At 37.1% G+C, this 25456-nt stretch overlaps 1 protein-coding gene across 8 annotated transcripts in view; it reads left to right on the top strand.

Moving 5' to 3' along the window:
• Positions 1-25456, top strand: part of PAWR (pro-apoptotic WT1 regulator) — a 106086-nt gene that overhangs the window by 72060 nt on the left and 8570 nt on the right. For 3 of the 8 annotated variants that reach the window (NM_002583.4, NM_001354732.2, XM_047428916.1), the window contains 3 exons: positions 5296-5330; positions 22247-22394; positions 24472-24576. In NM_002583.4, coding sequence (NP_002574.2) covers positions 5296-5330; positions 22247-22394; positions 24472-24576 — 288 coding nt within the window. Of the gene's footprint in view, positions 1-4293; positions 4611-5295; positions 5331-14183; positions 14726-15661; positions 20536-22246; positions 22395-24471; positions 24577-25456 lie in introns of those variants that run through there. The other 5 variants (NM_001354733.2, XM_047428917.1, XM_017019378.2 and 2 more) reach the window with 3 other exon arrangements.

Genomic DNA, 25456 nt, shown 5'->3' with positions numbered 1-25456 from the left:
CTATTTAGTATGGAGTAGTAATTATTAAAGTGCCAAATAATTATATAGTTGTTTCTTTGCCTGGAAATTGTTGTGGCTACAGAAATATAGTTAAGACATCTAAGGTGACGTTTATATTTGTGTGGAATTTTGTTCTACCATGTAAGAATGTCAAGCATTTTCCTCGTTAAAATTATCAGGGACTTATTTCAGTGAACATAATGTCCTCTGCCGTCATCCATTTTGTCGCAGTGATCTCACTTATATGTGGAATCCAAAAAAGTCAAACTCATAGAAGTAGAGAGTAGAATGGTGATTACCAGAGGCTAAGGTAGATGGAGAAAGGAGAAACATTGGCCAATGGGTGCAAAGTTACAGTTAGATAGGAGGAATAATTTCTGTTTTATTGCACAGTAAGGTGATTATAGTTCATAATAATGTATATTTCAAAATAGCTAAGAGTATTTTAAATGTTCTTACCAGAAAGAAGTGATAAGGGCCTGGTGCAGTGGCTCATGCCTGTAATCCCAGCACTCTGGGAGGCCGAAGTGGGTGGACCACTTGATGCCAGAAGTTCAAGACTAGCCTGGCCAACATGACAAAACCCCATCTCTTCTAAAAATACAACAATTAGCTGAGCATGGTGGTGTTCACCTGTAATCCCAGCTACTCAGGAGGCTGAGGCACAAAAATTACTTGAACCTTGGAGGCGGATGTTGCAGTCAGCTGAGATCACACCACTGCATTCCAGCCTGGGTGACAGCGAGACTGTGTCTCAAAAAAAGAAACAAAAAAAAAAAGAAGTGATGAGTATTTGAGGTAATTCTGTATAGGTTGTTCTTTGCATTGCTATAAAGAGACACCTGAGATTGGATAATTTATAAGAAAAATAGGTTAAATTGTCTCACACTTCTACAGGCTACACAAGCATGGCATCAACATGTGCTCAGCTTCTTATGAGGCCCTCAGGGAGCTACTCATGGAGGAAAGCAAAGCGGAAGCAGGCACATCACATGATAGGAGCAGGAGCGAGAGAGAGAGCGGGGGCAGGTCCCATACTCTTAACCAGATCTCATTGGTGCTAAACCATTCATGAGAAATCCACTCCCATGATCCAGTCACCTCCCAACAGGCCCCGCCTTCAACACTGGAGATTACATTTCAACATGAGATTTGGAGGGGACATCCAAAATATATCAGACATATATGCTAATTACTCTAATTTGATCCTTCCATAATATATACATGTATTGAAATAAAAATATCACTTTGTGCCTTATACATATGTCTAATCATTATTTGTCAATTAAAAATAAAGCTAAAAAAATTATAAGGGACCTTTCACTGCACCATATAGGTTGATTTTTTTTTAACCTAACATTTCTAATTTAAGATATGCCCAGTTTTCTCTTTTTGGCCAGGATATAGAAATCACTTTAAACTCCACCTTTAATTGCCCATTTTTAACATGCATAAGAAGACTCCCACCCCTCCCAGTCTCTAATCATACTGGTATAATCTATCCAGTGTGGGGAACATTTTACTGTTAAAAGTTTTTTTTGTTGTTGTTTTTTGAGACGGAGTCTTGCTCTGCCACCCAGGCTGGAGTGCAGTGGCATGATCTCAGCTCACTGCAACCTCCACCTTCTCTGTTAAAGCAATTCTCCTGTCTCAGCCTCCCAAGTAGCTGGGATTACAGGCACTTGCCTCCAGGCCCAGCTAATTGTTGTATTTTTAGTAGAGACAGGGTTTCACCACGTTGGCCAGGCTGGTCTCCCGACCTTAGGTGATCTTCCTGCGTTGGCCTCCCAAAGTGCTGGGATTACAGGTGTGAGCCACCGTGCCCTGCCAAAAAACAAGAATCACTATAAAATAACATTCAGCTTCAAAATGTATAATCTCTAATAAAAGACCATATTCAAATCCACCAATAAGGAATAAACTCGTGTCGTCTGTGTGCTTCAAAATCTTAACTATTGAAATATTAGCTATATACAAGAAATAAGTATAGCTTAAATTCTGATTATTTGTATGTCTCAGACATGAGCATGGAATGACTGTAATGGCAAACCCGCAATTACTTTTCGTACCAACGTAGTATGTGGGAGTTCTAATTTTATCAACTGTATCAAGCTAGCAGTGTGGAAAATACTGTGTAAAACTTACTGAGTTATGTTTTAAGTGACTGAGTGTTTAAAAAAAAAACCCAAACAACTGTAGAGAAATGTAGAAATCTGATATTTTTACATGACTTCTGGTTAGCATACTTAACTCAAAACTTGTCTGATACTGACTTTTAAGTCATTTATAATTGGGTCAAAGTGTGAAATTATTGTAATGCCACTGCAATTTAGAGTTGCTGAAAATGCCCTCCATTTTACATTTCTGTTTTTGTTAAAATTCTACTCTATATCTCTATTACTCTAAGTTTTACCATATTACAGAAAAAGTCTATTTCAAGCCTCAGAAATAGTGTTTGTTGCCAAGTTATTCATACAATTTCAGTTGATATACCAGTAACCCACAAATTAGTAAATCTAGTAAGGGTTGCTCTCATTTAGCAATTTTGCTGACTTCATTTCAGTAAAAGGCAATCTGGGCAATCAAGCTGATGTGGCATGTTCTGAGATATTTCAAATATAACCAAAATGAGACAGATGTGAGAGAAATGATGTGTGATGTTTTAGAACTTTATTTTGGAGATTCTGGCATTTTTTCTCATGCATGTGTAGTCAGACATCATACGCCTTAGTTTAGTTCATATAGGGTAATATTAGGGAATTTAATAAAAGAAGCTCTTTGTAAAATGTTAATGCAAATACCGTTTGTGAAACTACCAGGGGAAAAACTTTTTTTTTTTTTTTTTTTTGAGACAGGGTCTTGCTCTGTTGCACAGGCTGGAGTATAGTAGTGTGATCTCAGCTCACTGCAACCTCTGCCTCTTGAGTTCAAGCAGTCCACCCACTTCAGCCTCCCGAGTAGCTGGGACTACAGGCACACGCCACTTCACCCAGCTAATTTTGTATTTTATGTAGAGATAAGAGTTTCACCATGTTGCCTAGGCTGGTTTTGACTTCCAGGGCTCAAGTGATCCACTCCCCTCAGCCTCCCAAAGTGCTAGGATTACAGGTATGAGCCACTGCACCCAGCTGGAAAAACTTCTGTATGAATCATTATCACTCATATTTAATAAAGTATATTTTGAGTGAGTATACATAAGCTTAATATTTCTTTCGACATTAAATAACCATCTAAATAAATAGGGGATCTGTTTTACGTGTTTGGTACAAAAGTGTAGATTCGTGGATATCTGCTTAATGACAAGCAGATAAGAAACTCTTTAAAGTTTGCTTGCCAGGTTTTGTTGTTGTCCTTGCTGTAAGAACAGCTGATGCTCAGGGATGGTTAAAATGTCTTTGTATCACCTGTCAAGGCATGACTTCCCCAGAACTAAGCGTGTTTATGGGGTCAAGCCCACATACACAGTCGCTCAAGTATCCTGTCACCTGGTTATTTCCTGCAACTGGTTACTTCCCAAATGGTACTTTTTTGTAACTGCAGATTACTAAGGAAGTTATTTCCCTAAGTTGTCAATATATATTTATTGCATACTAGGTGAGCTGGGGTTTTGGGGGAGAAAGAAAGGAATTGCTGGTGGAGGGTTCTTATTTGTCAGACACTTACATTTTACTTAGAATATAAGATATATACATGAAAAATTGAGATACAAATAAAACTAAGTGATATAGGCTTCTGTAATGAGAATTTATTGACTTGGAATAATTAAGACAGACTTACTCAAATTCCATGCAGAAAATTCAATTAAGATTTTTCCATATCCCAGTTAGTTTTCTGTTTGTGTTAGCTATCAAATTGAAATTGAAAGCCTGTTTGGAAGGGACTGTGCTAATTTTACTCACTTATGTCATTTTATCTCTACAACAACCCAATAAAATAGGCACTGTTATTCCATTTTAGAGATCAGTAGACACTGATAGAGGTTAAACCCATAGTCTCCTAGTCTCCTAGCTACGGAGTAGCCTGTCTGGTTGGAAACTTGATCCGATCCCTCCTCTTAATCATATGGTTTGCTGTACTGGTTCCCCACATTGCTAGTCTTTTATCGCATCATGCAGTCAGTATTTACTCTTTTACTCTGGAACTGGTTATCTTATAAAGGTAGCTTATTCTTTTACCTTAACCAGATGAGAACTTCTTTAATTGTAGGATCTCTCTTGGCAACTTAATGATTAATTAGGAAAAAAGTTATCAATTTTTAAAGACATCATTTGATTTTGACCTGTTTTATTAAAGTGAAACTGCAGAAGTATTTGGAGAACCTAGACTGTCAAAAGATTGAACAGAGACATGACTGCCTAGTTATTTGCAAGGTAACAATTTTTCTACCCCAATGGTTAATGTTAACTTTTAGCAACCTTTTTTTTTAGTAGCTTAGAATCAGCACAATATTAAAATGTACTTTTTCACTTTTCATTTTTAGCTGTATATGTAGTCTTTAAAAATAGGAACTAATTACTATATGCACACGGTAAGTTGTAAGTTTTAGAAAAATTGATGGCATAAAAAAGACAAAGGGAGATATATAAAGACTATAAGGCCGGGCGCAGTGGCTCACACCTGTAATCCCAGCACTTTGGGAGGCTGAGGTGGACGGATCACCCGAGGTCAGGAGTTCGAGACCAATCTGACCAACATGGAGAAACCCCGTCTCTACTAAAAATACAAAATTAGCCAGGCGTGGTGGCACATGCCTGTAATCCCAGCTACTTGGGAGGCTGAGGCAGGAGAATCACTTGAACCCGGGAGGCAGAGGTTGCGGTGAGCCCAGATGACACCATTGCACTGTAGCCTGGGCAACAAGAGTGAAACTCCTTCTCAAAAAAAAAAAAAAAAAAAAAAAAAAAAAAAAAAAAAAAAAAAAAAAATATATATATATATATATATATATATATATATATATATATATATATATAATGGTGGTACTTTTTAATGCCCCTTGACTTTCAAGAGGATTTAAGCTGAGTGGATGATGAGTGATGCCCCCGGCCTTGTCCATTTTCTGAGTTTTTAAAATACTTCTTTATTAAAAACATAATTTTAAAAAAGTGATTGATTTGGACTGAAAAATCAGATGTAGACTCCTGTTTTGTTTGACCAGCAGTGTGAATTTTTTAAAACAGTAATTGCTTCAAGTTGGTCTTTTTAAAATTAGGTATTCTCTATCAACTATTTTATATAATAAGTAATTGTGTACATACATACTCAAACTGATACATAATTATTTTTACTTTGCAGGAGCCACCTAGAACAGTTTCAGGCAGATATAAAAGGTAAGAATCCTTATGACTTAAACATATTGTAGACATGAATGTAATGTCTGTCTGACATTGACTTAACTAGAACTATTTAAAGCAGCTTTTTGAAAAGTAAGAAACTTTTCTACTGTGCTCTTAAAAATAAATTATATTGTAAGCAGGAGTATCATGTCTGCCTGACCATGGCTTATTCTGACATGCCGAAGTCTTTGAAAACTCACTGTGAATTTGCATGGGTCTGATGAACTTTGCAAAATAAATGCCTTGAATTGCTATTTCTCATGTATTTAAACATTGAAAATATAAGTAGACCCATCTGTATTAGTTAGCTCAGAGTGCCATAACAAAATACTATAGACTGGTGACTTAACAGAAATTAATTTTCTCACATTTCTGGAGGCTGCATGTCCACCATTGTCAGGTTCTGGTGAGGACTCTCTTCCTGCCTTATAGGTAGCCACTTTCTCACTGTGTCCTCACATGGCAGAGAGAAAGAGGGAGGAAGAGGGAAAGTAAGCTTTCTGAGGTCCCTTCTTTATAAAGGAACTAATCGCATCATGAGGGTCTCATCCTTGTGACCTCATTTAAACCCAATTATCTCCCAAGGGCTCCATCTCATTAAGGGTTATGGCTTCAACATATGAATTTTGGGAGGACACAGATCAGTCCGTTGCACCACCTGTACACAATGAGTAACACTTCTAACCAGAGAATGTGTTTGTGTATGTATATGTATAGGAAGAAAATCAGAATTGGGTACAAGAAGTTTTTCAGTGGAGGTGTCTAGGATATTCACTTCCTTCTTCCCTGTTGAGGCCATAAAGGTTGCAGAAGCATGTGGTCATACTTGCGCTAATAATCCTAGAATGATAAATATTATTGAGTACTTACTGTGTCCAAATTGCTTTACATAGAGTTCTTTCAATTCTCATGATTATCTTATAAGGCAGGAATAATATTTATTTCTCTTTTATAGATGAGAGACGTGAGGTTAAATAAGTAGAATAATTTTTCTGGGGTTATAAACCTAGTCAACAGTAAATTCTGGATTTGAACTCTGGCAGCCTGACTCTGGAGCCCACATTTTTATTAACTATGTAAGACCATCTGCCTAGATTTATACATGTAAAACACTTACTTTCATCTGTATGTTGGAGTTTAAAATATTTCAGCTGTTTCATCTAAAATAAAACATTCATTAACCAATATTATATAAAAATTTTAATTTTTGTCATGGGCTACAGTATTTATTAGCAATAGAAAGAGATGAGAAGGCCAAGATAATCAGAAGAGTAGTTAAGTCTGAAGTAGTTTCTGGCACATGAGAAAACACTCAATACATTTACTACTGTTAACTGCTTTTATTTTCATTTCTGGGTAATTTTGATGTAGGTATAATGAAACCTGCTTTCGTTTGCCATTAATAGTTTAAACTGGAAAAAATCCTTTTTCTCTTTCCAGAAATAATTATGAAATAGCCTTGATGTGGCCTGTTCCCATACCACATTCTCAAACCAAAAAATTTTTAGCATTAGTTTTTGGTTTGGAGACTAAAGATAAACTGTGGCAACTTATCAAGTTTGTTGTATTGATCTTATACATTTAGTTCTTATCAAGTAATAGTCTTAAAGTACGAATGACACTTTTCAAATTTGTGTTCTTTAATTAGAATCAAGAGGGGAATAATTTTATAAATCCTATCAAAAGCTTTATTTACATGTCATTGTGTTAAATCAGAAGGCAAATTTATTCTCTGTGAATTTTTGTGAAACTTTTGAGACCATTACTTGTGATATGTCCATGTGTTTGTACTTTTCTTACTTGTATTCTCATAGCCTAGAGCATGTGGTTTACTTTTCAGCTTTCAAAGATTTGCCCCTGTTTAATATTGTTATAAATATCTTAAAGTTTCCCATCATTTTTTATTGGTTTGGAGCTCCATTTTAATGCCATCTAAAAAGAGAAAAAAAGACAAAAACTTAAAAAGCCACAAAACCTAGAATCTGTATATGAAATTATCTCTTATCTAGTAGAAATGTGTTATACTTTATATCAACAGTTTGTTATTTTCATTAATCTGTCAGCAAGTTATAGCAATGACTAGAGAATAGATGTTTCTTAGTGAAGGTGTCTGCTGACTAATGGGAATGAAGAAAAGGGAGAATAGAGTAAAAGATAGAAATTTGGCATCACATGTAAGAAAATATTTTCAGTAAACCTAATAACTTATTTTTTATATATATATAACTGAAAATAGAAAATATTTTCAGTAAACCAAATAACTTCCAAGAAATTATATATATTTTATATAAATTATATATTATATATAAATATATATAATATATACTGTATAAGATTTATATATAAATATCTATAAGTTTTATATATAAATATCTATAAGATTTATATATAAATATCTATAAGATTTATATAAATATATATATATAAATTTTATATAGCTAGAAATAACTCTGAAAGTCATTAGGAGGTTCAAACACCCAGAAGATTCATTTGAATGTATGCTCTTATAAATTATGAATTAAATACTTAATTTTTCTCACAAATAAGAATGTACATTTTTAGCCTTGAGTCTGTTATGTGCTCAGTCTAATTATGCTGTATTTTAAAACTTGAATTGACTTTCGTGGAATGTGTCTTACATATTCCCGGTTTTCCTTATAAAAATGTGTTTAACTGTAGGGAACTATTTGGAGGTGAGGGTTATGTAATTTCTGAAACTCAAGATTTAGTAAAGATGGATCAGTGTTACCAATTTGTGGGTTTTTTTTTTTCAATGTGTAATTTTCTTTTTCTTTTTTTTTTTTTTAATTTTTGGTAGAGACAGAATCTCTCTATGTTGCCCAGGGTGATCTCAAACTCAAGTGATCCTCCCAACTCTGCCTCCCAAAGTACTGAGATTAGAGGCATGAGCCACTGTGCCTGGCCTCAATGTGTAATTTTACTCCTCACCTAATGTAACATGAGTATCTTCACCTTTTGAGTTCTCTAAATAATGGCTAGTATCAACTGAGTGATTTCTGCCTTTTAAACGAAGTGTAGCATAAATATACCAGAAATCCTCACTGTCACTGCTTTGGTAACCCGTAATTTCTGTCTACTTTATTTGAATAAAACATGACTATGATTCTTTTTCTTCAGGGTCAGAATTTTCTTGCAAAGTCAATTCTGCTATAATGCTTGCTTTCGAAATGCAAATTGGTCCTAATTGGTACATTAGGGAACAGTTTGACCCTAACTCAAATTTTACCTTTGCTTATATACAGTTTTGTTCACCAGAAATGCTAGGTAAATGCTGAAAACCTTACCCAGCTCAACCAAGCTGCATAGGAATACACAGAAGGTTCTCAGGCATTCCTGGCAAACATCTACCAGGTACCTCAGTATGAGCTACAGCTTTGCTTCTGAAGCAGAAAAGTTTCCCTGGCCCCTTTGCAGGCAGGAACTGGAGTGCACAGGTGCTGGACCTAGCCAGGCACTTTGGTGTGGCAGGGGCAAATTCCACTCACTCGAACCCACTGCATTCTACCCCTCGTGGGAGGGGGAGCACAGGTGAGCAGGTGCAAGAGCCAGGGTGAGCGCTTTTGGACCCTGGCAGGAATGAATTCTGTACTGTCCCCATGGCAGTATCTAGGGGGATGCCCACTACCCCTGAAGTCCCAGAAGAAGTGTTATAGTTAGTGCTCTTTTAGCTTTGCCATCCATGGACGGCTTAAGTGTTAAACAGTTCAGTGGGTCCTCTGCCTTTTCTTGTGAGGCAGTTGCTCTCTGCTAGTGAGAGCAGAGGGTCAGTATGACAGCCTTTAGCGTTTGCACCCATTCAGTGTCCAGGAAAAATCAGGTCACATGAACGAATTGAAGGGTGGTGAATATGGAGGATTATATTGCCAATGAAAGGGGAGCTGGAAAGGGGATAGAGTGGGAAGATAATCTTTCCCTGGTGCAGCATTGTCAAGCCATTACTCTGAAGTCAAACTGCTTCTCCTCTTCTCTTCCTCTCCTCTCTGTGGTGGCAGAGCCTGAGGTTTTTATGGGCACAGGATGGGGAGCAGGACGGGCCATGGGTGGTTTTGGAAAAGGCAACATTCAAGCAGGAAAACAGGGATGCATGTTCTCACTTTGGGCCACAGTTCAAGGATTGAGGGTGGGACCCTCACCAGGACCACCCTCTTCTGCCCAGAATTTTCCTGCCTCCTGTCCCTATCACTTCCATATGTGATGTTACAACTTCCAGTCTAATTTCAGATATCTTCTTTCTCACATTTCGTATTAACCCACAAGCTGCAACCCTTCTGCTGCCAACCAGCTTCTATAAGGAAACCTCACTACTTTTTCAAGATAAAATGCTGTATTTATTTATTTCTTAGCTGTTGTAACCTGTAAAACTGTACTACCACTTTATATTAGGCTACTGTATTTTATAATGTGTCACAGATGAAGTTTTAGAACATTGTCCTCCAACCCCATTTTCTGTATAATTGCCCCCCTCCTTTTGTTTTTTTGAGGTGGAGTCTCACTCCTGTCACCCAGGCTGGAGTGCAGTAGCATGATCTTGGCTCATTGTATCCTTTACCTCCTGGGCTGAAGCAACCTTTACCTCCTGAGCTCAAGTGATTCTCCTGCCACAGCCTCCCAAGTAGCTGGGATTAAAGGCACCTGCCACCATGCCTGGCTAACTTTTGTATTTTTAGTAGAGGTGGGGTTTTGCCATGTTGGCCAGACTGGTCTCAAACTCCTGATCTCAAGTAGTTCACCCACCTCAGCCTCCCAAAGTGCTGGGATTACAGTCATGAGCCACCATGCCTGGCCCACCATGTTTTTATTGAGTGATTTTTGCATAACACAGTGATTTTAGAAACACTTAATATTGTATTATAGCAGAACTAACTCTGGGTAGATGGTTCAGTAAACTAAATCTTTGCCATTGTTTAAATGATAAGACTTCTACATAACATAAATGCATTTAATTTGAGACACTGTGAATACTTTAAGCCAGGGGTCCCCACCCCTCAGGGTGTGGACTGCTACCTGTCTGTGGCCTGTTAGGAGCCAGTCCACACAGCAGGAGGTGAGCAGTCAGTGAGCATTACTGCCTGAGCTTTGCTTCCTGCCAGATCAGCAACGGCATTAGATTCTCATAGGAGCGCGCGAACCCTATTGTGAACTGTTCATGCGAGGGACCTAGGTTACATGCTCCTTTATGAGAATCTAATGCCTGATGATCTGAGGTGGAACAGTTTCATCCCGAAACCATCCTCCCTGCCATCCCCCTGGTCCTTGGAAAAATTGTCTTCTATGAAACTGTTCCCTGTTGCCAAAAAGGTTGGGGATGGCCAGTTAAGAACTTTAGTTCTCAACCTCATTCTCAAGCTCTTTCATAAGAAACCGACTAGAACCGGTTCAAGTTTAGAGATGAATAATTTATTTAGAAACATAGTTTTCATTCAAGATTTAAGATGTTGCAACACAACAATGTTAACTTTTTTTCCTAGATGGAACTTTATGATTTTTTTTTTTTTTTTGAGTCCGAGTTTTGCTCTTGTCGCCCAGGCTGGAGTGCATTGGCACAATCTTGGCTCACTGCAACCTCCGCCTCCCAGGTTCAAGTGATTCTCCTGCCTCAGGCTCCTGAGTAGCTGGGATTACAGGCATGCGCCCCCATGCCCGGTTAATTTTGTATTTTTGGTAGAGACGGGGTTTCACCATGATCATTGTTTTAACCAGTAGTTCTTGTTTTGAGAACCACCAAGTAGACACAAACTTCCTTGGTTTGTTGGTCAAGGGTCAAAACCAGAAAAATCAGCCAGATTATTATTATTATTATTATTTTTTTTTTTTTTTTTGAGACAAGGTCTCACTCCGATGCCCAGGCTGGAGTGCAGTAGTGTAATCATGGCTCACTGCAGCCCTCAATTCCCTGGCTCAGGTGATCCTCCAGCTTTGGCCTCCCAAGTGGCTGTAACTACAGGCATGTGCCACCACACCCAGCTAATTTTTAAATTTTTTGTAGAGACAGGGTTTTTCTGTGTTGCCCAGGGTGATCCTGAACTCCTAGGCTAAAGAGATCTGCCTGTCTTGGCCTCCCAAAGTGCTGGAATTACAGGTGCGAGCCATTGTACCTGGCCAGAAATCAGCCAGATTCTTTAACGGTGGGAAATCCAAACTAAAGACGACCAAATATATCTCTCAGTAGTTAAAGAAAGAGAGTCTTCTTGGGCTATATATGACCCTTTCTAAAGAAATCTGTTCCTTTCAAGATCTATTCTTTCTTTCTTTTTTTTTAAAGACAGAGTCTCACTGTGTCACCCAGGCTAGAGATGGGGTTTCACTGTGTTGGCCAGGCTGGTCTCAAACTCCTGACCTCAAGTGATCCATCTGCCTCAGCCTCCCAAGGTGCTGGGATTACAGGCGTGAGCCACCATGCCTGGCAAGATCTATTATTTCTATATTAGGATATGTTCTATATTTTACCCAATGCTGTCAGGCATGCAATAGCAGTGACCTTTCTAGTTAATAGATTTGAAAACAGTACATGAAAGTCATAAAATGATTATTTAAAATAAATTGGGATTCTTGTACATTTTGTGGACTGGTGAATTTCTGAACTTTTCTAGGTCATAAATATTATTAATATTTATATAATATTAGTGTGTACCAGGTACTATTCAAAGTACTTTCCATTTAGTTAATTCCTTGATAGTCCTAGGGAGATGCTTTTATTATTATTTTACAAATGAGTAAACTGAGGCACAGTGAAGTTTAATGACTTGTATGATTAAACAAGTAATAATTTGCAGATTGTGTCAGCATATGTTGCATTACCTCATGGTAGTAATGTTAATTTGCCTAGCATGGGTAGGAAATAGATACAGTGTGGTAGTTTGATTAGCTTATTTAAACTCCAAATGACTGGATGGTACCAGTAACTAGATTTTTTTCGAACATAGGGTTTTATTTTATTTTTTCCCGAAAAGTAACTTCTAGATATATGGCTCTAGATTTCACAAATCCACTCAGATCTTTACTTTGTTTTAGCTGTAGTACAATGTCAGAAAATAACTTGTTCTGAATTATGAAGTCTAACAACATCTAGAGTTTCTTCATTATAATGAAAGATAAACCATGTTATAGTATTTGGTGTCATTTTAAGTGCATTTTGTGCATTTATTTGGAAATTAACCACTAAACTGATCTTACTGTTCCCTGTTATTAAGATGTAATTCAAATGCCATAAAAATTCACTCTTTTAAGGTGTACAGTTCAGCATTTTTAGGGCATTCACAGTGTTTACTACCATCACTGCTGTCTAGTTCCAAAATTGTTCTACCCTGAAGGAAACTTCATACCGTTCATATCCATTCTTCCTCTGCCCCTAGGTCCCCCAGCAACCAGTAATATGTTTTCTGTCCTTATAGATTTGTCTATGTTGGATATTTCAGATAAATGGAATCATATAGTATATGGCTTTCTTGGGTTTTTTTGTTTGTTTGTTTGTTTTTAGGCAGAGTCTCACTCTGTTGCCCAGGTTAGTGTGCAGTGGTGCAATCTCGGCTCACTGCAACCCCCGCGTTGTGGGTTCAAGTGATTCTTGTCCCTCAGCCTCCCAAGCAGCTGGGACTACAGGTATGCACCACCCCACCCAGCCAATTTTTGTATTTTTAGTAGAGATAGGGTTTCACCATGTTGGCCAGGCTGATCTTGAAATCCTGGCCTCAAGTGATCTGGCTGCCTTGGCCTCCCAAAGTGCTGGGATTACAGGCGTGAGCCACTGCACCTGGCCAAGCATGTGGCTTTTTGTGTCTCGTCATTTGCTAAGCATAATTTTTTCAAGATGATTCCATATTGAAGTTTGCAGGATATACTATATTATGTTTTACCATTTGGAGTAACATAATGTTAGATTCTTTACACTTTTTGCCTATATGAAATATTATACATATAATAGGCAATACGCTGTGAACATTCATGTACAAGTTTTTGTGTGACCCCTATTCTTACTACACAGAAATTTTTCATATTGCTTAGTTGAAGGCTTTTTTTTTAAAAAAAAAAGAATGTATCTGTATATACACACATTATATGTCAAATATTGAATAGTTCAAAGGTGCAGGGTACTATGCCTGGCTGTTTAGGACACCCATGTTAAGATGATAATGAGGAATGTATAATTTTAGCTGTTTCTACTGTATATAATAAACTATATTTGGAGAGTGTTTTCTGGACTTGTCTAGCTCTCAGGTGGTGAAATTTGAGCAGCCAGATATATTTGATCTCTTTAGGATAATTCACTATATTTAATATACCAGAAATGAATATGTATGATATTCCCTAACTGCAACAACTTAAATTTTTAACGAGATAGATTAAAAACTATAATATATTGCTATAAACAGTTATAATGCAGCCATTAAAATGATGCTATAGAAAAATAATTACATAAGAAAATTATTACCTGTTTATGTAAAATGGAGGAGAGAACATATTACAAAAAAGTATGATACAAAAAGTATATATAAAATATTATCTGAGAACTATTCATGTGATAAACTGCCAGAATTCTTTGTAAAAGAAGATAATGTTTATTTTTCTGGGAGGAGATATATATTTTTCATAAGATTTTTAAAAGGAATCTGATCCAGAAGGCTAAACATTTACTAATATGTTATAAAATGTTAATGGACATTATCTCTGGGTTAGTGGAATTACTGATGACACTCATTTGTATTTTCTGTTTTCTATAATAAATATGTATCAATTTTAATAAAGAGTTATGAGAGTTTAATATAATGGGAGTTGATTTTGATTTTTAGTTGTTGGTGTATGTGCTTATGTGTATGTTTGTATTTAAAGGAAGAGAGATAAACCCTACACAGAGCAAGGAGCTGTTACGAGGAGTGGGAGTGTTGGAGGGTGAAGAGAATGGGGCAGTGAAAGATACTAAAAGGATGGAAGCCAGTTAAGTAGTTGTTGGTTATTTGGGAATTTCAGAATATATCCTGTACTTCTGAATATTTGATACTTATTCTAAAAGTAGGATTTACCCTTGAGTCTTGTATTTCTTCTCATTGCTAAGCTTTATAATGTCTATTTTAGTGGAAAATTCCTCTAGCTATAATCTCTTAATGCTGCCAATCTCATTCTCATGATAGTTTTAGAATAATAGTGTAATTTTCCCCAACACAACACCCCCTGGTGTTTCTACATAAGATGCGAAAATTCCCAGAGGGGGAAAACTTCCAGTAAGGGGTGGCATTTATCTTTGATGATACTGTTTCTTTTCCCTTTTCTGAGCATTATAGTTCATGTCTTTGTAGCTAAGAGTGGAGGGAGGATTCTTTTTGGATCGTATTAGAGATTTATGTTAACATTCCTAAGTAAAATGTTAAAAACTTTTTGGAGTTAATGAACAATCTTTTATTCTGAGTATTTTGCACTGTGCATATCTGGCTTTCAAAATAGGTTAAATGGCTAAATTTGGCAATAAGATCAAGTAACACAATTCTTCACAATTATGACAGTATTCCCTAAAACATAATACATATTGGGAATGAAGCACTGATTTTGTTTTTCACTATTCCTTGCATTTGCATAATGAAGGCCGGGTGTGGTGGCTCATGCCTGTAATCCCAGCACTTTGGGAAGGCCGAGGTGGGCGGATCACCTGAGGTCAGGAGTTTGAGACCAGCCTGGTCAACATGGGGAAACCCCATCTCTACTAAAAATACAAAAATTAGCCGGGCGTGGTGGCGGGCGCCTGTAATCCCAGCTACTTGGGAGGCGGAGGCAGGAGAATCACTTGACTGCAGGCTGAGGTTGCAGTGAGCCAAAATAGTGGCATTGCACTCCAGCCTGGGCAACAGGAGCGAAACTCTGTCTCCAAAAAAAAAAAAAAAAAAAAAAAAAATAGCATAATGATGCCGTTTATGTATTGACAAGTCTAAGATGGAAGGTTTTAAAAATTGTTAATAAGTTAAACTTTTTTGAAATATTGTTTTAAACATGTTCATCAAGCAAATACACGATTACTAACGGACATCCATATTTCTGGATGGTTTGTTTGTAGCTGTCAGCATTATAGTTTCTACCTAAAAAGTCATGGATGGATGCAGAAAGTTGGACTTCTTTTTTTTTGTGAAAAATGGGTCCTTTAAAATGCTTCTAATGGTCTTCTATAATATGGTATGGCTTTAGTGATACCTTCCTCTGTTGATTTTCTTTTTACCACTTTGCTGGTATTTCCCAGTCTTATTTGTAGTTGTTTCTTTCCTGTATCTCTTCTTCATGTATTGGTATTACTCAATTTTTTTTGTTTTTGTTTCTTTTTACAGGGTTTCACCATGTCACCCAGGCTGAGTGCAGTGGCGTAATCGCTCACTGCAGCCTCAACCTCTTGGGCTCAAGCAATCCTCCTACCACAGCCTCCCAAGTCCCAAGTGCTTGGGACTCCAGGAACATGCCACCATGCCTGACTAATTTTTTATTTTTTTAATTTTATAGAGACAGAGTCTCATTATGTTGTCCAGACTGGTCTTGAACTCCTGGACCTAAGCAGTCCTCCTGCCTTGGCCCCCCAAAGTGCTGAGATTACAGGTGAGAGCCACTGTGCTCAGCCTACTCAGCTGTTAATCTTAGACTTTATTCTCTTTTCGTTTTGTGTATTTGTGGTAGAAATTTCATTCACTCCGATGACTTCACTTATTATCTATACATAATGCTGATGACTCCAGATCCAGAAGCCAGGAGTTTGAGACCAGCCTGGTCAACATAGTGACACGTCTCTACAAAAAAAAAAAAAAAAAAATTAGCCAGGTATGGTGGCATATGCCTGTAGCTCCATACCTGTATAATCAACAGCTATTAAATATCTGCTAAGCAAACTAAACTAAGCATTTTCAAAAGTAAACTTGTGAAACCTGATGGATTTCAGTAGTTGACATCAGCATCTACTTTTGCTGAAGTCAGTAGCCTGGACATTATTTATGACACTTATTTTTTTTTCCCATCTTGCCCTTATCCATTCATTCACCAAGCCTTGTTGAGTTTATCTTCTGAGTATCTCATTGCCATCACACCAATCTAGGACACCATCATCTCTTACATAGGTGATTACAATAGCCTCCACACTGGCCTCCCTGTCTCCGTTTAGCTCATCTCCCAATATATTTTATAAAAATGATACTGTTACTTTCTCTGCTTTAATGGCTTACCATTACCTTTAAATGGAGTCTGAATCAGTGGTCTCCAAAGGGGGGTGATATATAAGATAATCTGCTAGGGTGCAGGAGGAAAATATTGGAACTTTTATTCATATTTACCTTTTTATTTGAAAAACACTAAGGCATTAATATTTAAAAGCTACTACTGTGTAATAGTTATTTAGTCATTCCTTCTTTGCTCTATGTGTCAGATGGTCATTTGGTACTAAAGGTGTCCTGAGGGAAGCATGCTTTGTTCACTTTCTGCATGTTGCACAATACTATAATTTGAATGTCCATCTATGCGGATTTATGAGTTATCTAGTTTAACTATTACAAAATATGTAAGTCTGGGATTAGGGAATTTGTGGAGAAAATCAAGTGTTTAACTGCAAATAAGATCACATTGTTGTTCAGCTGGTAAGATATACAAAATCAAATCTGTTCTCATGAATTAAGAAAAATTACGCTGATTTTGAGGTTTTAAGTGAAACTTTTTAAAAAATTCTCATTTTTTTGTAAGGCATCCCTTTCTGCTTTGATAGCCATTAAAAATCAAATATTCAAACTGATGTTAGAACTAGATCTTTGAATCTCTGTATCACACGGTGTTAAGATCTTCAGAAATAATGAAGCATATTCAATATTTTATTTAAAATATTTGTGAGAACAAACTTTTGTACCATAAATAAAACAAATTTTAGTCTTTTTCTTATGCTCTATTTTTGGGATACAGACGATTATTTTATATTGTCATATTGTAAATCCTATAAAAATGGTAGATAAGTAAACATAGATACCAACATGGGTATGTAATTATGAATAATATTTGGAGATCTTTAGTTTAAATTCTTCCATAAAATAGCTTTCAGGGCCAGGCGTGGTAGCTCAGACTTCTACTCCAAGCACTTTGGGTGGCTGACGCAGGAAGATCGCTTGAGGCCAGGACTTCAGGACCGGCCTGGGCAACATAGCAAGACCTAACTTCTAAAAAATTAAGATAAATTAGCGGGCATGGTCGCACATGTAGCTACTCCAGAGGCTGAGGGGAGGATTGCTTGGGCCCAGGAATTTGAATTTACAGTGAGCTATGATTGTCCACTGCACTCCAGCCTGGGCCACAGAGTGAGAACCTGTCTCTTAAAAAAAAAAAAAAAAAAAAAAAAAAATTCAGGTTTCCTGCTTGCTTTTTCAGCCTCATATTTTATTACTCTTATGTTTACACTCCATGCTTTAGCCATATTGGAGTTTTCTGTTTCTCAAATGGGCCACAATTTATAGGTTTTTGCACATTCTTGTCCTTCTTTTTACGTTTCAACCTTCTCTAACATAGTGATACCCAAAGTGTAGTCCTTGAACTGTTTGTTGTCAATCCAAGACAAGAAAAGAACTTGAGAATAAGCATTTAGAAACTTGAATTGCATTTTGACTTGTCATCATCACATCCAAGTGCATGATCAGTGGATTACTCTGCGAACAGGATATAGAGTAGTTCAAGTGCCGTGGCAAGTTGCATGCTAATCATGCCCAGCAGGGCTGTTACAATGTGTGATATTTTGAAGTTAGTCATTTGTAACCCAAAAATGTGTAAGAATTAAGTAAAATGTGGCTGGCTTATGCCTGTAATCCCAAGACCAAGGCAGGAGGATAGCTTGAAGCCAGGAGTTTGAGACCAGCCTGGTCAACATAGTAAGACACGTCTCTACAAAAAAAAAAAAAAAAAAAAAAGCCAGGTATGGTGGTGGCATATGCCTGTAGTCCCAGCTACTTGGTAGGCTAAGGTGGAAGGATCACTTGAGCCTAGGAGTTTTGAGGTTTCAAGGCTGCAGTGAGCCATGGTGGCACCTCTGTACATCAGCCTGGGTGACAGTGCAAGACCCTATCTCCCCCCGCCCCCCCAAAAAAGCAAAGCATTTATTTTTAAAATCTCGTTAATTTTAATCACACTTCTTCTCGTCCCATAAATAATTTAAAAATATATAGTAATTTTAAAATGTAAAAATCTTTTTCATTCTTTAGAATTTTATGTTTTACAAGTATTATTTAAATCCTGGAAGCAAAATTTGTATTATTTATAAGTCAGATTTACTGATGACAAAACAAACTTTACTGGACTTTTTTGACAAGCAAAGATACACTTTTTTGAGTGCGATAGCAGTAGTAAACCAAATGATGACAATGGAAGTAATTTCAAAGAGATACAGATCAAAAGAATTTGTACTAGTTTTCTTGGAAAGTATTATGTGTCCTATGTTTAGTTTTTAGCCATAATTGATGGGCGAAGTGCTAAAACCAAAACCAAAGTGGGTTGTTTGGAGATACACTGGCTATTTAAACAATATAAAATGATCAAAATTTAATTGGTAGTTGCAGGCATGACATGTACAAAATGAATTCATCAAATATGTTCAAAACCAAATTCATTATTTGAAAGAATATTACAAAGATGACCGGAGCAGATGTTCAGGATTTCACATGTGATCACTAGTATTTTTGGGGTTTCTGATAGTCTGACTTGAGGTTGCTAACATTAAAAAAAACTGCATACAAATGACAAGACAAAACATGTTTGCTTGGAAATGTTGGATGAATCTGTAGTAAAGAAGATAGTTCACATACCACTTTCCAGCAACACCATGATAGCTTGATGTGTTTAGGGACAGGACAGTGATACGAAGACTAACTCTCAGACAAATAAGATCCTGCAAAGGAATTTTTGTTACAATTTGATGAACACATTGGTTTTGCTAACATAGGAAGTAACAATTTATTTTTCAGCTTCATTGCTGACATACAGCTTGCTCTGAACTATATAACACTTGCAAAGGGTTACAGTATCAACAAATGTGGTTTGGAGTTTTGCTTTACTTTTATAGGAATATATTCTAATTATGCAGGCACAGTAATAAGAAAAACATACTGAAGCTTGTACCAGAATGTAAATCGGTGTCCTGCTTCTTTCATTGAGAAAGTCTTGCTTTGCCAGCTGAACTAAACAGTGTTCTTGCTATATCAGCTGAATTCACAGTATAGTACACTAAAAGTGTGAATTTATTATTAAACACTAATTCATTACATTTGAGGTTTCTAAAAAATTAGATACTGTAGTTTGGGAGTTAGCTGATCAGCTGTTATCAGATGCTAGGGTGTACATTGGTCTTCAAACTGACCTTTTCAGTCAAGAGTATTTGAATTTTGGGATGAACTCTTGGTGTTTTTGCAAGACAAGAAACCAGTTTGGTCCCCAGCTTTTCAAATATGTGAGTTAGCTTTTTGTCTGATGGCCTTATTCTTTATTTTTTAAGTGATCTTAGCTTTCCATGCAAAGAAGGAATGTCAGTTGGCCGGGCGCAGTGGCTCATGCCTGTAATCCCTGCACTTTGGGAGGCCGGGGCAGGTGGATCACGAGGTCAGGAGCTCAAGGCCAGCCTGGCCAACATGGTGAAACCCTGTCTCTACTAAAAATACAAAAATTAGCCGGGCATGGTGGCAGGCGCCTGTAATCCCAGCTACTCAGGAGGCTGAGGCAGGAGGATCGCTTGAACCCAGGAGGCGGAGGTTGCAGTGAGCCAGAAGGCTTTTCAATGGCAGATAAGATCAGGTGACAAAAATGAAAGTTGGATTTTTGAGGAGAAAGTTACCTTAGCTGGTTATAAAGGGTTCTACGATATAGTAACAACTATCAGTAAAGTAGATGGTGATCTTGGTATTGCACATTTGAAAAGGTTACAATCAAATACCTTACAAATTTGATAGGACACTTTTATTTTCTATCACAAGAAAATTCATAGGTAAGAAATTCATAGATGAGGAATCAATTTTTAAAACGAGAAGTCACTTTCGATTTAACTGTAAATTTGCTGGATAAATTATTGGAAATGGATACCAGTCAGTGAAGGATTGAAAACAAATTTTGAAAAGCAAATTTTCTACATTTTTGACAAAAGTTTTTAAAAATGAATGTCCGAGCTTGTTGAAATTGCATTAAAATCACTGCTATTTCTGTCCTTTGAGACTGTTTTCTCTGATTGCTATTAAAACAAAACACAGAAATAGTTTAGATATACATTATCCCTTGTTGAGTAGCATTGTCCTCGGTCCAACCTAGATTAACAAATGTAGTAACTGGCTTTCAAGATAGCCCCCAGTGAACCCTACCTCCTGATGTTTGCACTGTGTATAATCCTCTCACACAACATACCAAGTTGATATGTGTGAACAATAGAATAAGGTCAGTGTGATAGTATGTCACTTTTGAGGTTGCGTTATGACCGACACTGCAGCTTCTGTCTCAGTTGCTCTGTCAGTTTGTCTCTGGAAGCCAGCTGCCATGTGGTGAACAGGCCAGTGGAGAGGCCAACATAGTGAGGAACTGAGGCTGTTGTCATCAGTCATGTGAGTGAGCCTAGAAGCAGATTCTCCAGCCCAGTTAAGCCTTCAGATGACTGAAGCCCCAACCAACATCTTGATTAAAAACTCATGAGAAGCCCCGAATCATAATCACCCACCTAAGCTGCTTCTAAATTCCTGACCAACGGAAACTTTGAGATAAGAATTGTGTGTAAGTTTGGGGGTAATTTTTAATAGAATAATACAGGAAACAAGAAGCAAACTCATTTGTTACATTAAAAACTTTAAATACTGACATATGTGCTGTTCAGAGGGTATGAACTGGTGTTTAAGGAATTGCTGTTTTACTTACAACTTTTGATTAAGTTAGAATTATGGCATAACAAAATTATCAATATGGTAGCAATTTTCTGTATTGATTGCCTGTATGCATACTTATAGTGGAGAATTTGCCACTGATGTAACTCTTTTCTTTTTTTCTATTTATAATTTTATGGGTCTGAATCTAATAAAACATTTGGACTTGTATTTTGTATGACCTTTTTAACTTTTATTTTTCCAGCAGTTCATTTTAATTTTACTTTTTAAAAGTGTTGGTCCATGAAAGATTGTAATTTTGAAGAAGGAAAGTGGTTTTTCACCACACATAGTCTGGGCGATCTAGGCCAGGCACAATGCTCACATCTGTAATCCTAGCACTTTGGGAGGCCGAGGTGGGTGGATCGCTTGAGCCCAAGAGTTTGAGACCAGCCTGGGCAACATGGTGAAACCCCGTCTCTGAAAAAAGAAATACAAAATAATTTGCCCGGTGTGGTGGCCACATACGTGTAGTCCCAGCTACTCAGGAAGCTGAGGTGGGAGGATCTCTTGAGCCCAGGAAGCCGAAGCCACAGTGAGCTGTGATTGCACCACTGCACTCCAGTCTGGGTGACAAGAGTGAGACCCCATCTCAAAAAAAAAAAAAAAAAAGATAATCTGGGAGATCTGTCCTATCGTAGTTCTCATAGTATCCATCACTGACCTTATTTTACTGATCATCTTGCTTTATTATTAGTTATATTCCCTTTTAACCAAAAGCTCTATGAAGGGCAGAGTCCATGTTTGTGTTTGCTGTTACGTCTTCAGTATCCAGAACAGTGTTCGTTACTTAACACCTATTCAGTAGATATTGGTCGAAAGAATTAATGGTACTTTTACATTTTTTTCATTGTGTGGGAATAATGATTAACTTCTACAGTTACAAATAAGTTGCTACTATAACCATATGTCCTTGGGGAATGTTAATTTTTTTAAGCTCAATAGAAAATATTCTTGGCATTTTTCTTGCTGAATACTAGGGATTTTAATAAAATGTTTATATTTCCACAGCACAACCAGTGTCTCTGAAGAAGATGTCTCAAGTAGATATTCTCGAACAGATAGAAGTGGGTTCCCTAGATATAACAGGGATGCAAATGTTTCAGGTACTCTGGTTTCAAGTAGCACACTGGAAAAGAAAATTGAAGATCTTGAAAAGGTATGGATTATAAGTTATTTAAGATTGATAAAATTAATATACCATTAGAATTCTTTTGTTTCATAGCAACTGAGTGAGAAAGGAAATAATATTCCTTAATATTTAATATGTGCGCTTTTCTGCCAACTGTTACCTTTAGTATATTAAAAGCCCTTGTTTTTGAAGTGGTTAGAAGTCTGAGCTGGCAAATATATACTACTGTGTATTTATTATATTGTCTGAATAGATTTTCATTTGTAACTTTACAAATTACAGGAGTAAATCTGAGTTAGGTCCATCTTTGGTGTTTGAAACAATTTTGTCTAAGAATATGCCTGTTTAAAAGTGTCTTTCAGTGCAAGTCAGATGACTCTTGGCATAAATTTATTAACCATAGGGTCTCAGGTTTGTGCCATAGACATTCAACCCCTAAAATTAGCAATGGTGTTGAATACTTTTGTAATTGTTGAAAATGTGTTTTGTTTTACTTGAGATTATTCTCTATATTATTAAAGATCTAATTTATATATGTTATGTAAAGAAATTTCATTTTTAAAACTTGTTTCTATTTTATAACATTTATGATTTTTTGAGGTCACATTTCTAAGCTTTAACAACAGTTTCTTCTTGGAATTATTATTTCATAGTTTTATTTATTTTTATTTATTTATTTAGTTTTGAGACAGAGTTTCGCTCTTGTTGCCTAAGCTGGAGTACAATGGCTCAGTATCGGCTCACTGCAACCTCCACTTCCCAGGTTCAAGTGTTTCTTCTGCCTCAGCCTTCCAAGTAACTGGGATTACAGGCATGCACCACCAAGCCCGGCTAATTCTTTTTTTGTATTTTTAGTAGAGAAGGGGTTTCACCATGTTGGTCAGGCTGGTCTTGAATTCCTAACCTCAGGTGATCCACCCGCCTCGGCTTCCTAAAGTGCTGGAATTACAGGCGTGAGCCACTGTGCCCAGCCTATTATTTCATAATTTTAAATTAAAAAGTTTAGACAATATGTAATCTAATAGTTTTGAAGATAGTTGCCCAGAAAGGCTTCGTGAGTTCCACAAGAGTTTGGATTGAATTGCTAGTAGTTGGCAGCAGCTAAGGGATATGGATGGTTGATTGCTCTGTAGGAGGTTTAGTAAGAAAGAAGCCAAGTTCTGGGCAAGGCCTTTTGAGCTCTGCTTCCCTTTTGCCCCCAAGGTGGCTGACCAAGCCCAGTGCCCTGGATTCTAAATAAGATGTCTTTGAAAAAGATGTTGCATTGTTTAAAGAAAAAAAAAATTAAAAATCAGTAATCTATTTTAGTTCCTTCTTTTTATCCATTATCAGTTAACTGGCAGAGCCAGAAGTAAAACTGAGGACCATTGTTTTTCTGTTTAGAGTTTCTATTGGGCCATCTCCTTTAAACTTTGTATTTTTAAGAAAAATTAATTTTGAATTATTTCAAACAAGATACCCATTAAAAAATAAGGTAGTTCATAACTTATAGTGGTGATAAGCTAAATAAGTTAAATCACAGGCCGGGCACAGTGGCTCACGCTTGTAATCCCAGCACTTTGGTAGGCTGAGGCGGGCAGATCACTTGAGGTCAGGAGTTCGAGACCAGCCTGGGCAACATGGCAAAGCCCCATCTGTACTAAAAATATGAAAATTACCCAGGCATGGTGGCATGCACCTGTAATTCCAGCTACTTGGGAGGCTGAGGCAGGAGAATCGCTTGAACCCAGGAGGTGGAGGTTGCAGTGAGCCAAGGTGCCATTGCACTCCAGCCTGGGTGACAAGAGTGAAACACTGCCATACATACATACACACACACACACACACACACACACACGAGGTTAAATCATTGAGTCTATTACATTAGTTTTGTTAAAGACTTGTATAAACATAGCTTTACTCAGGAGCATCCTAATATCTCCTGTGCATTCTCTGATTCCTTTTGTGGTGGGATCTTTGTTCCTTCACCAAATGTCTTAAGGGATTCATTGGAAATCTTCATGTATGTAAGATATTTTACCAAATTGGGGAGATATATGCCACTTAGGAAGATTATAAATAAACAATTACTTCCTAATTACTGGTTTTTAATTGTATCTACCAGGAAGTAGTAAGAGAAAGACAAGAAAACCTAAGACTTGTGAGACTGATGCAAGATAAAGAGGAAATGATTGGAAAACTCAAAGAAGAAATTGATTTATTAAATAGAGTAAGTATTTCACCATATTTCAGGTTTGGAGGGGTTTTTTTTGGCAATTGGATGAAAATATATAAATATGAAGAAATTATTAATTGCATTATTCACTTTGTTCTTTTGTTAGTGAAATAATAATTAGTAAGAGGTATCATTTTCTTCCAAAAACTGATTTCCTTTGGGCAGTTATCAGTTTAGCTCACTTAATTTTATTCTTTTGGAGATAGACTGATTTATGGATTTGTTCTCTGTTTTGTTAAAATCTGAGGGTGACAGGCGCTTTGTCACTACCATATGTAAGGGCACTGGCACAGAGTTGCCTCAAGAAATATCTAAAATTGGCCAGGCGCTGTGGCTCACACCTGTAATCTCAGCACTTTGGGAGGCCGAGGAGGGCGGATCACGTGAAGTCAGGAGTTCGAGACCAGCCTGGCCAACATGGTAAAACCCCGACTCTACTAAAAATATGAAAAATTAGCTGGGCATGGTGGTGGGCACCTGTAATCTCAGCTACTCAGAAGGTTGAGGCAGGAGAATTGCTTGATCCCAGGAGGCGGAGGTTGCAGTGAGCCAAGATTGCGCTGCTGCACTCCAGCCTGGGCAGCAAGAGTAAGACTCTGTCTCAAAAAAAAAAAAAAAAAACCCTAAAATTGGTACTCTTTATTATTATTATTATTATTTTTTGAGAAGGAGTCTCTCTCTGTTGCCCAGGCTGGAGTTCAGTGGCGCGATCTCAGCTCACTGCAACCTCCACCCCCCGGGTTCAAGTGATTCAAATTGATTACATCAAGATTTATTATTTTAAACTGCAAGAATAAATCTATAAATGTCTGCTTTTTTAACAGTAAAGAGTCTGTCTTGAAATAATGTTTCTTGTAACTAAAACTTATGGTGA

This window comes from Homo sapiens, chromosome 12, assembly GCF_000001405.40.
Source record: "Homo sapiens chromosome 12, GRCh38.p14 Primary Assembly".
Taxonomy (NCBI): Eukaryota; Metazoa; Chordata; class Mammalia; order Primates; family Hominidae; genus Homo; species Homo sapiens.
This window is presented reverse-complemented; position numbering and strand designations above follow the sequence as displayed.